General features: G+C 42.7%; 1 protein-coding gene and 1 long non-coding RNA gene across 4 annotated transcripts in view, besides 4 other annotated features; one reads left to right on the forward strand and one right to left on the reverse strand.

Moving 5' to 3' along the window:
• ZNF697 (zinc finger protein 697) overlaps positions 1-5,094 on the reverse strand; it is a 28,890-nt gene extending 23,796 nt beyond the window's left edge. For 2 of the 3 annotated variants that reach the window (XM_005271315.4, XM_047433849.1), the window contains exon 1: positions 4,899-5,094. The gene's annotated coding sequence lies outside the window, so the exon portion shown is untranslated. Of the gene's footprint in view, positions 1-4,518 lie in introns of all 3 variants that reach the window. The other variant, NM_001080470.2, reaches the window with a different exon arrangement.
• Positions 4,511-4,674: a silencer, noted in NCBI's record as "fragment chr1:120190306-120190469 (GRCh37/hg19 assembly coordinates)". NCBI's record gives its function as "represses an EF-1alpha promoter that drives an FKBP-Casp9 reporter gene in an ReSE screen in HepG2 liver carcinoma cells and phorbol 12-myristate 13-acetate-treated (for megakaryocytic differentiation) K562 erythroleukemia cells {active_cell/tissue: HepG2 | K562(+PMA)}" and the evidence as "EXISTENCE:reporter gene assay evidence [ECO:0000049][PMID:32094911]".
• Positions 4,972-5,031: a silencer, noted in NCBI's record as "silent region_1247". NCBI's record gives its function as "represses an Ori minimal core promoter by ATAC-STARR-seq in GM12878 lymphoblastoid cells {active_cell/tissue: GM12878}" and the evidence as "EXISTENCE:reporter gene assay evidence [ECO:0000049][PMID:35858748]".
• Positions 5,090-5,930: an enhancer, noted in NCBI's record as "OCT4-NANOG-H3K27ac hESC enhancer chr1:120190885-120191725 (GRCh37/hg19 assembly coordinates)". NCBI's record gives its function as "activates a minimal SCP1, AML or CMV promoter by ChIP-STARR-seq in primed H9 embryonic stem cells {active_cell/tissue: H9 hESC(primed)}" and the evidence as "EXISTENCE:reporter gene assay evidence [ECO:0000049][PMID:30033119]".
• Positions 5,102-5,171: an enhancer, noted in NCBI's record as "active region_1594". NCBI's record gives its function as "activates an Ori minimal core promoter by ATAC-STARR-seq in GM12878 lymphoblastoid cells {active_cell/tissue: GM12878}" and the evidence as "EXISTENCE:reporter gene assay evidence [ECO:0000049][PMID:35858748]".
• Positions 5,144-5,804, forward strand: LOC124904389 (uncharacterized). Its single transcript, XR_007066506.1, has 2 exons — positions 5,144-5,215; positions 5,552-5,804. It is a non-coding gene; the product is annotated as an uncharacterized LOC124904389 (long non-coding RNA).

Below are 16,475 nucleotides of genomic sequence, written 5' to 3' on the forward strand. Positions count from 1 at the left end.
AGGCCCTTTCCTTTTAACTACCCATAGCAAATTTAGCCTCCACAGGAAGGAGAAATCTGAAGTATCGCATGTGACCCTCTCACACACCTGCTGGAACACTGTTGCTGGCCTATGGATGCACAGAACATGACTTGCTGAATAGATTCAGTGATCCCAAGAACTCTCCTATTCTCCTTTAACATGACTAATGTGCTTCTAACAACCCATAGCACACTGTGTTTATACCAGGGCTTTCAAAGTTCTCTGCACCCTTGAGGTCAGAGAAAAAGAAGGTTTAGTCAACCTAAGGAAATGTGTTCAATCTAGTGATAGGTGAAACTCTCTTCCACCCAAAGACGAGAAGCTACTGATCTTTTAACCATCCCTTATCAATACATGATGTAATGAATGCCAAATCTATACCCCACACAAATCTTGCTGCTCTGATGAAAACAGAATGAATTATCTTCCTTCCTCTCCCCAGCCTTCTTCTCCCCCAATAAGTGCAGCCAGTGAAACCCCTCTGATTTTCTCAGATGTGCATGACATCTGAGAGATTTGGCATGACAGCAAAGGGAAAGGTACTAAACAATGCCCCACCCCACTACCCGAAATTATTAAACACTATAATCATTCAGTGCCAGTGTTAGTTAAGCTCAGAAAACTCAGCTTACAGTGGTCTGCTCTGGCATATTTCCAGAAGGTACTTTCCTCTTTTGGAAGTTACATGAAAAGGGTGAAAATTAACTAAGAAAATAATTATCCTCTCTTTCTATCCCTCTTCTACAATATAAGCAAACTATCAACATGCAAATAATATTTCGTGCCTCCATTTCTGCATTTTAGTCATTACCAATTCATCATTAACTCAGTTTCTGAAAGTCTACCATATGCCAGGTTGTGTTCTGGACATAAAGTCCCTGTCACGTGTGGGAACCCACTCAAGTCTACTTTCATTAAGAAAACATTGAACTGCAGAATTTCAAACAATGCAAGAGATTAGGGGAGAGGCTGAGGGTGGCCTGGTGTAGTTGAAAAAGGCTACCCAAAAGAAGTGAGACTTGGCCTGGCAAGAGGAATTCAGACAGACTGGGAGAAAAAAGAAAAGAATTCCAAACACACACAGTTCTTTACCCAAAGGTCTTATTAGGGGTTCTGAACCTGGCCTTTCCAACTGATGGTCATTAGAGTTTAAGGACATAAAAATAACAGATCTATGAAGAAAACAGTACTTCTCAGAATAAGATCCATGAGGATGCTTTTAGAAGCACAACATTACTGGTAGGAAATCTGGGAAGTGGAGGACTTCAGGAGAAGAAGGAATAAAGAACTGTCAGTTTTCTCCCATGGAAAGCAAATTCTGAACAGGCTTGACAGTCAGCAGACGTAAATTCCAGTCTACACTCAGTTCAGAATCTGGGACTCCAGGCAAGCTTCTTAGCTTCTCTCCAAGCCCTAGTTTCCTCATTTTTAGAATGGAGATAACAATATGTAAGTCATCAGATTAAATAAGTCATCAGATTAGACATGTAAATCACCTAGTTTAGTAGCTGATATACAGATGTTCAATAAGTGGCGACTATTATTGTAATCACATAAAAAGAAGCATGAAAAATTGCCCAGTTCGAGATAAGTGAGGGACTACTAAATTGTAGTGTCTTTGGGGAAAATTTGAAAGTCTGATTTGTTTTCTATTTCTATATGCTACATTTTAATCCTCATAGATTGCTTGGGCTATAAAAATAAAAATGGCATGGTAAATGTCTGGCTATAGCAGGACAGTCTTCGTAGTGCTGCTTTTCCAATGAGCACTTTGCACCTTCATAATTGAATGGAAACAGTTACCTTCTTCAGTCTAGGACAATGACAAAAATTGTTGATTATTTGCTTGGGATTAATCCACTCCATATTCTGCCTGAGAGTTTAAAATGTAGGCTGGCAAATAACTTATTCAACAAACTTTTTGTGAATGTCCTTGTACTAGACACTGTGATAGGTACTTTTAGGGTCTCTTAACCCAGGAGCAAAAGGAAAAGCCTCAGTCTGACATGTCCTAGGTGCTTTATTTTCACAATTGCAATGAATCATCACAGGTCTATGAGAAAGGCTCCATCCCATTTTCTAAAGAAAAGGCAAGATAATTAAGATTTTTTTTATCCTTTCACTCCTTCTTTGATTTATTCATGTTTTCAAATCAAACATCCTTTGGGCACTTGTTAGATATTAACACCTAAAGCAGGTGTCATTGAAATAATACAAATTACCAAGGGGTAAGATTAATTTTGACTGTAAAGTTTGGGAAGAGTTCTGTAAGGGAGCTAATCAGCTGGGCCAGGATATGTACAAAAATAATTAGGGACAGGTACAGGGATGTCCAGCAAGCATGGGGTTCAACCGGACAGTCACGGAGGTAGAAGAATGTCTGTTGCATCTTCAAGGACTGGGGAGCTATTTGCTCGAAGGATGGGTAGGTAAATTGGGGTGGCACAGGTCCAGTAAAGGAGAGGGGTAGGTAGGCACTGAATTGTGAAGAATTTTAAATCCCAAAGTAAGGAGTTACTTTTGTTGATTATATTAACTCTACATAGTGTGTGGTACTGAGAAACCTGTTAAGGGGCAGGTGAAAGAAAAGAAAAAAGAAGTAGAATCTTAGATACAAAGAAAAGCCCATATGGTACTGACATAGGTTCAAGCTCCAGACCTCTTACTGACACTGTAGCTATTTTTTTCTTTCTACATAAGCAGACAAGCTCCTTCTTGCCTTAGTTTATCATCCTTACAACCAACCTTTACCCTTTCTCCTTCCCTTCACAGGACACTAGTAATTAGGCAAAAAATGTAGATTCTGAGGAAATTCAAAGAGTTTTGGTGGGGGAGGGAGAGGAAATGTGATGCAACTCCATGAGCCTTAGTCATGCTGCTGATGTGAGGTCACTATTTACCACTTCAATCCAGCCGCATCAATCCAGCCGGTTCTTCTGTCTGACTAGCATCCATTTACCCCTCTATCCCAGTAGTTCTGAAAAGCCATCTATGTGTTCCTTTGTGTAATGTAAAGGGCAGCCTGACTTCATATTTATGATCTTGTTCAATAGGATGCCATCTTATTCTCTGTTGGGCATGGCTGAACTTTTGACATCAACTTTCCCTTAACAACAACCCCCACTTCCAACACACACACACACACACACACACACACACACACACACACACGGCCAATATGTTCTAACTAGAAATCATCTAAATTCACAGAGCCTCTTCCCTTCACTTCATTATCCTCATGGCCTCATCCTAAACAACTCGGTTTTTTTTCTCGATTCCATTCTTTATCTCAGTTCAAATGCCTCATCTCTCCCAAAGAAGCTAAGGAAGAAATGTTTTGTTTCACCTCGAAAGCCATTTATATCAGGCTCAGGGCTCTCTCCATGTCCTACAGCATCATTCTTTCGACCATGAGCCTTGCATACTCCTGCCTGGCCATATAAGTGGCATTCTTAAAGGTTCATTTGGTTCCTCAAACGTATTCCACATTAAATAATATCCACATGTTGGCTTGTTGAGAGAAGAAGGTAAACAGTTGGGGGCATCAACAAAAAATCAGGTGAGGGGAGAAAGGAGAGATAGTGAGTGTGGCCCCTTAGGCATGCTGAGTTCAGTTACAACAGTCACACTTGGACTGTATTCAAAGTTGCCCACTCATCCACCACAGCTACTCAAAGACATTTAACTCGCTAGCCATTATCCAACCGCATTTACCAGACGCTCAGTCTTGAGGGAGGAGGGTAACGCAGTAGGGGATGCGGAGTATTGGTGTCATCCTACAGGTTAAGGACAAACATGCCCACTACAAGGACAGGGATACATCACCAACTTCAATTCAGCCCAGGGTTCATGTAGTAAGGGGTGGGTGATTCACTCCTGTGGGGGAGGCAGGGCGGGGGCGGTTGGGGGAGGCGGTTAGGAAAAAGGAAAATCGTGGAAAGTCCCAGAGGAAGTGGTAGTCAGTTCCCGATGCATGGCCATAATGTACATTGGCCATAAGGTACACTCAGCGCCTCTGTGTCGCTGCTCCCCCTCAACCTTTTACTCACCCACTCCTCCCAACACGCGCCTCACCCGTGCCTCCATGCACAATCCTGAGCCTCGGCATCCCCGCGAGGTGCAGGTTCCAGCTTTGCCCACCACCCCACCACCTACCTACATGGACACGTGTGGTTGGAATGCCTCCCGGGGCTAGACGGCCACCCCTCTTGGGCTGCGAGCTGCTGCCCATCTCTCCACCCACCCGTCCTTATTGTGTCATTTGCCCGGTCTGATGGCAGCCCCAAAGCCGCTCATTTGAGTGGGCTAGAATGGAGAAGAGAGGAAAAGGGAGGCACACATTTCATTCACTAGGACCCAAGATGACCTGCCGCCTCTCTCCTGCCCTTCTCGGAGCCCCCCACCCTCCCTTAGCCCCAGTGGGGCTGGAGGCACGAACAGACAAGGCAAGGGGAGCGCAGTCCGTCAAGGTCCACAGCTGCACACAAAGCCCTTCACCTTCTCCTTGCCTTCCAAGCTCCTCCCTGGGCTTGGTTTCTCCGAGGGTCTCTGATGCCCCCTTCGGTGGTCGGCGGGACGGTCCTATTCCCTCTTGCATCGCTGTCTCCTCCCTCAAGTCTCAGCCTCCTCCTCCCCGCCCCTCGCCACATACCCCTGAGGGAGCTCAGTCCTGGCTTTGGGGGCGCGAGAGCACCCCATAAGCCCGGGGCCCTGCGCCCCAGGGGAGCGGACAACGGTCCACTTTACGAGGCACAACTTCGCCCAGCCGTTCCGCCACCGCACTCGAACACACACCCCATCCCCGCAGCGGTCGGGTCTGGTCCCGATCAGCCCCATCCCCGGGAGGCGGTTGAGCCCAGCCACAGCCACGCTCCTACCTGCGAGGCGGCTGGCGCGGCGAGGAGCTAGGGCACCGAGCGCCCCGGCCCGAGCCCCGCACCGCAGCGCGTCTGCCCTTGTGCGGCGGCGGCGGCTGCAGCGGCCGCTGGGTGGCCCGCTGGCTGGCTGGTTGGCTGGCTGGCTGGCTGGCTGGCTGGCTGGCTCGCTGGCTGGCTGCCCGGCTGACTCCTCACTGGGGCTTCCTGTAGGGCTGGACAAAGGACATTTCCTGGGAGGAGCGGGAGAATGTTCCCAGCATGCCTCGATTTGTAGTTCCCGGGGACTTCCTGCCACCGCAGCAGCGGGCGCCCTGGAGGTAGCTCGGGCCAGGCTAGGACTCCGGGACAGGAGGAAAGGCGCTCGCTGCTTCTCTAAGCGCTGTGGGGAAGGGAGCGGCCGGCGGGTCTTGCCCCACGCCCCGCCCCGCGGCGCTCAAGGAGCCCGCTGTCCCGGAGCACGCGAGATCCCAGCGCTGCACTCCGAGCTCGCGGCACCGGTTGCGGGCAGCCGGTGGGACGCTGCCGCTGAGCTGTCCCATGGTTCGGGAGGGCTCTGCGGTGGGAGAGGCCTTTTCTTTAAAAACTGGGAAGTTTGTGGTGGGTTCGCTTTTTAAAAATTAATCTAAAAACACAAAATCTATCTTTTAAAATAGATTTTCTTTTTGTCTTTTACGCCGTTGACATCCTGCTGGGGGCCGATTAAAGAACTTGATTGCTCACCAGGAATTCAGGTTCCTTAAGATCTTGGCGCTTCATCTTTAAAACCATACAGAGCTGATTGTTTCCAGATCCCGACCCGGTGACATTCCTCCCTCATTGTTGACCTTGTCCCAAACATCTTTTCAAGAAAAGCAATTAAATTGAGATTGAAAATAAATTACGTAAATTAAATATTAGACGTGAAAACCTGTGTGCTGCTGAATTAGGAAAGTGCTGGACTTTCTGCGTATCTTTCCTTCATTAACCTTTAGGATTCAGCTTCTTGGTCCCATAAAACAGATGTGCTGGCCACTGTATATTGAGTGTGTGTATTTCGGGAGTGGAAGGGTGAGGAGAAGAGGACATTGGCTACAAGAGAGGAACTCTACTTCCAGCCTAGCAAGAGTCTATGATGCCCTGCACATGTTTTTGTCTATTTCTGGGACCACAGACTCAGGACCCTTAGAAAATCAAGGAAGGACCACATAGAGACTAAATGACTAAAAGCTATATTCTCTCCTGGAGCATGAGCAGAAAGTAATAAACTGAACTAGGAAAGGACAAGTTCTAGGATGCTCTAGAATGTGTTTGAAAAGTAATCAGATAGAAAAGTCTCTGGGAGGCCGGGCGCGGTGGCTCACGCCTGTAATCCCAGCACTTTGGGAGGCCGAGGCGGGCGTACTACGAGGTCAGGAGATGGAGACCATCCTGGCTAATACGGTGAAACCCCGTCTCTACTAAAAAAAAAAACACCAAAAATTAGCCGGGCGTGGTGGCGGGCACCTGTAGTCCCAGCTACTCGGGAGGCTGAGGCAGGAGACTGGAATGAACCTGGGAGGCAGACCTTGCAGTGAGCTGAGATCATGTCAGTGCACTCCAGCCTGGGCAACAAAGTGAGACTCCGTCTCAAAAAAAAAAAAGAAAGAAAGAAAGAAAAGTCTCTGGGCTTGGTGGCTCATGCCTGTAATCACAGCACTTTGGGAGGCCGAAGTGGGAGGGTCACTTGAGCCCAGGAGTTCAAGACCAGCCTGGGCAACACAGTGAGACCCTGTTTCTACGAAAAGTAAAATAAAATAAATAGCGGGTGTGGTGGCGCGTACCTGTAGTCCCAGCTACTCGGTCGTTTAAGTGGAAGGGTCGTTTGAGACTGGGAGTTTGAGGCTGCAGTGAACCGTGATTGCACTCCAGCCTGGGTGACAGATTGAGACTCTGTTTCAAAAAATAAGGTCATAATTACGTGTCACTTCCACTTGTCATTTCACATTTTAAATCCATATGATTAAAACATTTGGGTGAAGGGTTTAGCTTACATTTAAGTAAAGTTTATGCTAGAGTTCTCTTTCTCTAGAGATCCTTAACCTCACGGATAAGATGGCCTGGATTAAAATGTAGAATTGATGAGAAGCATGCAGATAGGACTGTTCACCTCCCAAAAGTTCCTGTTGTATGCCCACCCTAAAGGTCCTGCTGTATGCCCACTCTGTTGACTGTCCACCTAAATTAATTGTGCTGTGATCCTTGCATTTTCTGGACCCTACAAATTACTGCTCCTTCATATTCTCAACCTGGTAACATTCCAGTGAAACTAATCTCCCCATCTCCACCCCAAAGAATTGATTATTGTTTTGCAAATCAAGTAGCCTCTAATAGTGTTCAGTCTGAAAAACATGATATACTTGCTTGTAGCATTTAACATATAACATTGCCCATTGAAACTATTTTTTGCCTTGCTTTTAATACAACACACTCTCCTCCTTCTCCTACACTTCTAACTTGAGCTCAGAATAATTGAACTTTCACTCATTATTTCACGCCATTCCAAACCTGTCCCATCCTTTTGTTTCCAATCTCAGTTATTTTGTTACTTCAACAAAGTTTTGTTTAACATTTATTCATGCTAGTCTCCATGTCTGGAGTAGACATGTAACATTCAACAGTAAGATATTTTACTGAGTAACTACCAGCTATGTCTTACCCCCAAGAAGCCCACACTCCAGTTGAAAAGACAGATGTCACAAAATTACTTCACAGTGTTTAAGGGCTATAATGCTGCCTTATACTGGGGTTCGTGTTCTGTAAAAGTGGGGCTCTTTCCATAAGCCTTCTGTTCCAGTGAGTGGCAGGAGTGGACAGGAGTGGCCAGAGGAAGGCTTGGGAGGGAGGAAATACAGACGGTAAAGAAGACATGTAGTATGTGAAATTTGGTTCTGAACAGGGTGGTAGCTGAGAAGGAAGTCGGATCAAAGGACATTCTTCTGTTTGTAGGGGTTTTATTTGTTCGGTTTTTAAGATGAGAGAGCCTTGAGGATGTTTAAATGCTGATGAGAAAAGTCTTGGAGAGAAACAAAGGGTAACAAAGAGGAACGAAAGAGGATAAGGGATTCTTATTCAACAAATACTTGTTGAATTAACTAATTCCTGCAACTTAGTGTTGAAAATGTTGAGATTGAAATGACCAAACTGCATATTCCCAGCTAAGATACGCAGAGTCTGAGACCAGAAGGAAATGGCATTTCTTTCCTCCTTGTCATATGCTCTCTCCTGCCCTTGAGGCCCTCAGGGGAAGGTGACAGACAAGTGAATGAAAGGAGAGAATGGAGGCTTCCTCCACTGTTGAAGATTAAGTCTTTTCCAAGTTGACAATAGGTTGGAAAGGCACACCACAACTTCAGGAAAGTCCAAACTTTCAAGCCTGTGGATTTTCATTTCATCTTTAAACTAAAAAAAATTTTACCCTTGCCCTTTTCTTTTTCTTCTTCACCACTTTGAGGCAAAGTAAATAATGATTCTCATCCTCATCTTTCAGAGAGTTGAGTCTGGACAGATTTGCTTACATTTTTTTAAGCTTTCAAGTATAAAATGGATGGACCTCTGTTGTTTTTCTTAACCTAGCAAGCATCCCTTTCCCTTTTTTTGGTAACAGCACCTTTGAGAAAAAACCCCATTTCCACCCTTAGGTCTTGTGGTTTAGAGAAGGGCAGAGCCCATCTTCACCTCCACTTCATTGGCAGGTAGTGATCAAGACCCGCCAATTAGCCAATTCAGTGTTGTATGAGGGATAAGCTATTAAAGGAAACAAAGCTGAGAAAAGGGGTGTGGGAAGGGATGTATGCATAAGCAAATTTTTATGACTTGTTTGATCATGCCTGAAGCCAAGGTACCCTTAGACTTTTTAGTTACATGAGCCAAAACATTCCCTTCTGGGCTTAAGCTATTTTGGGTTAAGTTCTATCTCTTGCAGCCAAAAGAGTTCTATATAGCTGGAAGTGGGATGCTGTAGTGCAGATCCTTAAATGTAAAATTGGCTGAGTTGAGAAATGGTGAAAGTAGGAAAGATCCCTCTGTGCCAGGCTAGAGAACTGGAAATTCTTGTGATATGGTAGCCAGGAAACTGAGTGAGAGGTCTCAGACCCCAGCATTTCCAGGGTGGAGTTTGAGAGGTCTTGATTGACAAATGTCAGGGTTTTAGAGAGTTTGGTCTACTTATAGTTTTTATAAATGTTCCAAAGAAAAAGCCATGCTAATGTTGAAACTGGCCTATGTAGTAGCAGAGAGGAAAAAATTACAGTGTGATTAAAAGATTCCCCTTCTACCAGTAGCCAGCAAACCCAAATGGTCTGGAGTCAGATATATTGAGCCATGCCACGTTAGAAAACTAAAATCCTCTGCCTCTTACACAGTGACAGCAAAGGCATAAGTAAAAAACTGATAATAGACTGTCTCCTGAGTCTACATCAAACTCCTCCTGCTGTGCTGTTCCTGCCAGAGGAAGGGAAGAATTAACCCCATTTTAATTGGGTGACCATATCATTTCTTATCAAAATGGGACAATTCTGAGTGTGAGTATGGGTGCTATTAATAATTATACCTAGGTGACAGCTCTAAAGCAGGTCACCCTAATTAAAGAGCTATCTACTAGGACACCATCTTGCATCAAAAGGCCACTCCATTAGTCCTCCTCATCTGCAGATAGTTATTTCAAGTTGCCCTAGGCAGAGGCCAAGATGGTGGCTGTTAAACTGAAGACTGTTAAAATGAGTCATCTCTAAGGCTTTTCCTTAAAAGACAGAAACTCCCAGGACAGGGTCTAGAGCGTAGATAGACTCCATACCTCTGAAATACAAGAGAAGGCGGGGGGTGGCTAAAACAATTCGGTCCCAAGAACGGGAATCCTTCTCAATTCCCTTTACAGTTGTGATCATGGAGGAAAATAGTCAACAGGAATCCTTTCTGAGAGTAAAGCTGAAGGTAGCTAAATTGGCCAAAGAACTCAATTCCTGTGAGGCAGATAATTCTTGCTATTTCTAATTAGCAGAATGTAACACATCCTATGGTACAGTCTCCATACTGATTATTTACCCTTTCCTTGCTTTCCTGTAGGAGTTACTCAATTTTACCCTCTACTGTTTTATACTGACTATGTGGGGAGTAATCAGATTTGTAGTTTTGTCATATGTTGTCAGAAAGAGAGAATGAAAATCACTTAACGGTAATGGACTGGGAGCTAGACACAAAGAAAAAACAAGAGAAATGAAACGAGTTAGACATGTGAAAATGCATTTACCTTTTGGATTGTGGGTGAATGCATTTTCATGCATATGTAGAATAATTGCATGCTATTAAGTGGGGGCATTTTAAAAACTGTATGGAAGAAGGGAAGCCAAGAGATGAACTGTCAAGTGTGGCTGCTATTTTTTGACGGCTCAGCATTCATTCCCACTTTCTTGTAACAGCACTCTAATTTTCCTTCTGAGGAACAACCCCTCCTTCAACTTTAGTCTTGTCTGGAAGAGGGTCTATCTTTCCCTACCTCTACCACTTCATCGCCCAGTTCTGAGGCTGGATCTATAACCCAGGCCTGGCCAATCAGTGCCTCCCATAGCTCACAGACCAGTAATTGTGTCAGAGATGGGCATATGACCCAGAAGATAAAATCAAAGAAGCCCTCTTTCTCTGTTGGAATTGCTAGTTGAAAAAAATAACATTAAGCTGAACATGCTGGAATGTATAGCCTGAATGTGGAGTCAATACAGAGAGTGGAAGAGCTGAGACAGGGAGACACAGAAAAAGAGAAATTGACTTGAGCTCTTCATTCCAAGCATTTCGAAATCTATCCTTGCACTTTTTAGTTCTGGGAACCATTAAATTCTCCTCCCCCACCATTTTATTTATCTGATTTGAATTGGATTTTTGCCTAGTTCAACAGAAATAGTTCTGAGCAAACTCAGAATTTTAATGTTTTTTGGAATTTTTCGTGGTCAAATTACTCAGGAAAGAGGGATGTGAGAACAAGACAGGGGAAAAGGGGTAGGTTCACATGAAAAACAGCTTCCAGTGAAATGTTCTTTTCCTTATTAGAGACACTGTGGTTCCCACCGCCAGCTCCCTAACTCCATAATCCAGGCTGGAGAATTAGGACTATGTGTGGTAAACTGACCACTTTCTAGGACATAAATGATGGGGACACATGGATCACTCAGTGCCTATTAGGAGAACTCAGCCATGTTTTCATTCTTGTATTGGTTCTTTCGGAAAAAAAAAAAAAAGGCTGGGCATGGTGGCTCATACCTATAATCCCAGCACTTTGGGAAGCCAAGGTAGGAGGATCCCCTGAGCCCAGGAGTTTGAGACCAGCCTAGGCAACATAGTGAGACCCCATCTCTGCAAAAAAAAAATAATAAAAAATTTAGCTGTACATGGTAGTGCATTCTTGTAGTCCCAGCTACTTGGAAGGCTGGGGCAGAAGGATTGCTTTAGCCTGGGAGGTCAAGGCTACAGTGAGCTCTAATCATGCCACTGCACTATAGCCTGGGTGACAAAGTGAGACTTGGTCTCTATCAAAAACAAACGAACAAACAAATTCATTCCTTAAAGTGATTGTTTAGCCTGGTTGGTTTATTAGTAGGTAACACACAGCTTGGTTTTCCAATTTTATGTTTTGTTTTGTGTCCTGGTGGCATTTAGCTGCTTCATCTTAAGTCCTAAAACTTATATTCTATTCCCACCCAGATCAGGGCCTTTCCCCCATTTATGCCTGGAGTCAACACTCCACCTCCAGCCCCAGCCTTTCTGTGGGTAGCTCCTTCTCATCTTAAACCTAAATGTCACCTGCTTATAGCAGTTTTCTCTGGCCACTCTATCTGAAGTAGCCCCCTTTATTTTCTGCTAGTCCTTTGTTTTCTTCTATTCAAAACGCTTTAAATTTTGTTTACCTGGCTTTTTTCTCTCTTGCAACTAGCTGGAAACTCCACAAGAGTAGGGATCTCTATGTCTGTATCATTCCTAATTTTGTCCCAAGAGTCCAACACTGTGCTCAGCTTTTACAGTAGGAACTCATAAGAAATTTGCTGTATACACTTAATGAATATTTTTAAAGCAGCTGTGAGGAACATCACTGTTCATTTGTGGACAACTTGTCTTAGATATACTTTTTCAAAGTAAATTTTTATTGAAACGTAATGTATAAAAGTGCATATTTCATTAACATTTTCAGATTTTGAAGTATATCTTATTCCCTACAGGAGAATTTAGGGAAGGGGAAAGTGAAAGTATTTCCCAAAGGAAGTGGAGGGAGGAGGAGGGGATGTTATCACTGGGATTAGCTGGGCTGAAGACTGGCTCTAAAACATCCTGCCTTCTACAAATGTTTCTCCTAGCTAAAGGCAAAGACACTGTTTCTTTGCTGGGCTTCATATAGCCTGGAACCTCTAATCCCTCAAGGTTGGGAAGAGAAGGAAAATCAATTGTGAGTTACAGGAAAAGTAGATAACATAGGTCAAGGTGTAGATTTTACTCACCTCCACACTCCAAAAACTAGAAAGATATTTAGTTTACTAAGCTTTTTAAACAAATCTGTATCTGATTTAATGGAGAAATTTTTGATGCTCTCTCTCTCTCTCTCTCAGATTAGATACAGGAAAAGGATACTCAATATCACTGCTACTCTTCCACTTGGTACTGGAAATCTATTCCAACCCAACAAGAAAAGACAGTTAAATGTATAAAGATTAGAAATGAAGATACAAAACTGTTACTTGCAGATAGTCTGATCATTTACATGAAATTTATTATAAACCAGGAACCATCTAATGTGTTTAATATTCACATAATCTGTATTTCACAAATAAGGAAAATAAGGCTCTGAGAGGCTGTATTTACCCAAGATCGTTCAGCAGTCGGATTCAGAGGCTGAATTTAAGTCCACGTAATCAGAAGGAAAAATGGGAACATTCAGAGTCAGAGTGTGAAAGCGAAAGCCAGGAAGCCCCATCCATCCATCCCTTCAACAGTGAACAAAATATGGTTCCATCCATTTATTCATTCAATAGTAGAAAACATAGTGTGTTAATTTGCACCTGCTCTCTTCCCTGCACAGTGCTCAGCGCGAGGGACACCAAAATGAAGACTCAAGCCGTGAGCACAGTCCAGTGAAAGAATGATAACCACGCAAGGAGACAGAGCTGTTATCACTGAGCTTGCATAGCAGATAATGGGTGCTGAAGAAATTGGGGGTGTCAGAAATCACTTCCCCAGTGGTGACGCCTGAGCCAAGTCTTAAGCGTAGATGTAGGTTTTCTGAGGAAGGAGCTAGGCACTTCAGGTAAGGGCAAAGACCTGCAATGCTGTGAAAGGTGGGACAGGGCAGCTGAAATGAAGAACATTGCCTGAGACTGGAGAAGTAGGAACGGACCCAGAATGCCATTGTGAACCATGCTGAGGAGTGTGGATAGTGGACACAGTATCACGGTAATGACATACAGACTCTCTATACCAGTAGATAGACTAAAAGTAAATGACTCCATCCCTGTAGGCTGAATGAGGCAGTAAACTGCTTTGTTTTCTTTTACTGTGTCTACACTCAGTAGTCTCAGTTTCATTTCCATTGGCATGCTAATTTTCTTATAACGTACCACCAGTCACAGCTTTTTAAGTGGTGTCACCAAAACTTTCTCCTATTCTCAATAAAACTGCTTTGGCATCTAACTGACTTGACTAGCACGCCCCACCTACTCGTCTTTTCTCTGGAAGCATTGTGGCTTCATCACCAGGTTTATTGTTTCTGATCAACTAAGGAGATATGGCTTCAGTGAAGGAGAAAAGATAAATCTATTTATTCAATACATATTTATGGAGCATTTACAGTGCTAGGAATACAATAGTGAATAAAATATGGTTTCTCCTCTCAAAGAGCTTATAGACTCGAGTTGACCAAACAGGTAATAATAATATTTAGTGCCAGAATCAGAATCTCAGATATTCTGGTATTTGCTGATTCTAATACTGTGTGCTAAACCTTGTTCAATATGCTTTGTATATGAACCCTTTAGTCATTCAATACTCTTGACAACCTTATGAGGCAGGTACTATTGTTACCACCCTCACCCAATTTACCTTCCTTCCCCATTTCATCTTCTAGTTGGCTCAGAACCCAAACAGTGTAGCTCCAGTGTCTGTGCTCTGACCTTCTTCACGTTAATTTCTTAATGACAATCTAATGTGATAAATGACCTGATATAGACACACTACATTAGAAAAATGTCCAGGGTGCTACTGGCACCTACCATAGTCTTAGGGGCCAGGAAACATTTTCTGACAAAGTTTCTAGCTGAGCCTGGAAGGGGGAGGAGTTGGCCAGGTACAGAGGAAGGAGGGAAGTGATTTGGGATCAAAGGAATCTTAAGTATAAAGATCCTGAGCCTAGAAACAACTTGTCACTCAGAAGATCTACAGAGCATTTTGGAAGGCCAAAATGGGTCCAGGATGAGGGGGTGAGGGTGAGGGTGGGAAGGAGTAAAAATAAAGTTGGCTGTTTTAGATCTTAACATTTTACTGCTAGAAGAAATTGCATAGACAAGGCAATAAAGCCAAGTTCCAGAAAATCCTGAATTTAAATATTACATCCCTTTTAAGGCATGCTGGTCTTTTTCTTCAAACCAAAATCAGAATCATTTTTTGGACTTGTGGACTTACTTAGGTAATAAGTCTCAGAAAAGTAGCTCTTATTAATTACATGGAATTTGATATTTAACCATTCACCTTTGTTGAAAGAAATAAAAGTACATTAAATTATATAAAATTACCCCATAAATCAGTTGATACAGTGATTGAACTGTCATTCTTATATTCAACATATATTTTTACTGAGCACTGCTATATATCAGGCCTAGTGTATGACACTGTAGGATACATCAGTGAAGAAGAAGAAGACAGGTGCTTGGGCTTGCAGTATGCATATTTCAGCAAATCCTAAGTATCTCGATCTGAAAAGCATGCTATCCATGCTATCTAGAATACATAAGGGTTTTAATCCAAACATCTAATTTTACAAATGAAGAAACTGAAGAGGTTAAGTGATTTACCCAAATTCACGCATTTCAGTTTAGTACGGTGCTGGAGACTTGACCTAGTGTCACACACTGGCAAGCCATTGCTCTCTCCAATAACACCCCATGCCCTCATATATTATGAACCATGGATTTAAGAGAGTTGTTTGACAAGAAGTCAAGGAGTCTTGTAAGACAGGATTCTCCTTGCAATATTTCTTTAATAATCTCATATTCTCCTTCACTAGTGAAATAATAGCCTACAGATGTCCAACATCGTCCTCTTTGCAAAAATGTTTTCACATTCATTATTTCATTTGAGCTTTGAGTGGCCCTATGAAGTAGATTCTGTAGATATTAATATCCACATTTTACAGATGCGAAAAATGAGTTTAGAGAGTTTCAGTGACATGAGCATGGTTACAAAGTGAGGACCAGACTAAGGGCAGACTCAGCTGCCCCAGGCCTCAATTCATGGATGCACTAAAATATTACTGGAATTAATCAGAGATTCAGTCCTATTTAACTCAAGTTTTTACCAACACTACAACACAAGTGATGAAATGTAAATTAGTTTTTACTCCCACTTAAGAAGGAAGTGTGTTTGGATAGAAATGTAAAAACACTCCTAGGGCTGCAGATTTATCTGCGATATATACATGCATGTTTCTTGGTGTAATTAGAGTCCTATCCCAATCCTAAGAAGATCAGAAGCTAGCAGTTGAATTCTGAAACTGAACAATGTGTGGCATAGCACAGGGAATAAGATATTTTTTAGACTATTAATTTTAATTCATTTAGTATATCTCCCATTGAGATTATCTAATTGGACAATTGAAATGAAAACTGGAGAACAAAAACTATAGAAATGTGGCAAATGTTTTATTGGTATGAGAGCCAATAAATAAATAACTAATACAGGAGAAACTTTAAAAACATATTCCTGTGTATAGATTCTGCAAGTGATGTGTGAATACATTTTTGCTATGAAGGAATTACCATTAAGCATTTAGATTAAAAAGTAAAGTTCACTTTTCGTATGCCACCAGTGGTCTCGCTATCCTCATAGCACTTTCAGAAAAAATATTTTGACCAAGCCTGTGTAACTACACCAAGCAAGTTATCTTTGCCCTTTGTGAGCGTGAGTGAATAATGCTTTCTAGTTATGAACACTAGAAAAATTGTGAAGCAAAGAACAATTCCAAATAAGTAGAATATTCTGCTCTAGTTAGTGCATATAGCAAATCCCCTATTTGAGCATAAAGAGATATTTTATTTTATTAATGAGAATAATCATCAACTTTCACATCTCTTGCTGCAAAAGGATATTAATTTGGAGGGACACCAAATTATCTAGGGACTGGATCTCACTCTTAAGACTTCTATTCAGTGGCTGGGGCTCAGCTTTCCATTTTACAGGTTTTTTTTCTCTCTCTAAATTCCCCTTTCCCTACTATATATTCCTCCCCCCAATGAATGCCTATCATTCTGATAAACTGGACCACAAAATACTCGTTTCATTTTATACTGTTTTAATTGGCTCTTGGGATGTTTC

The sequence above is a fragment of the Homo sapiens genome, chromosome 1, assembly GCF_000001405.40.
Source record: "Homo sapiens chromosome 1, GRCh38.p14 Primary Assembly".
NCBI lineage: Eukaryota > Metazoa > Chordata > Mammalia > Primates > Hominidae > Homo > Homo sapiens.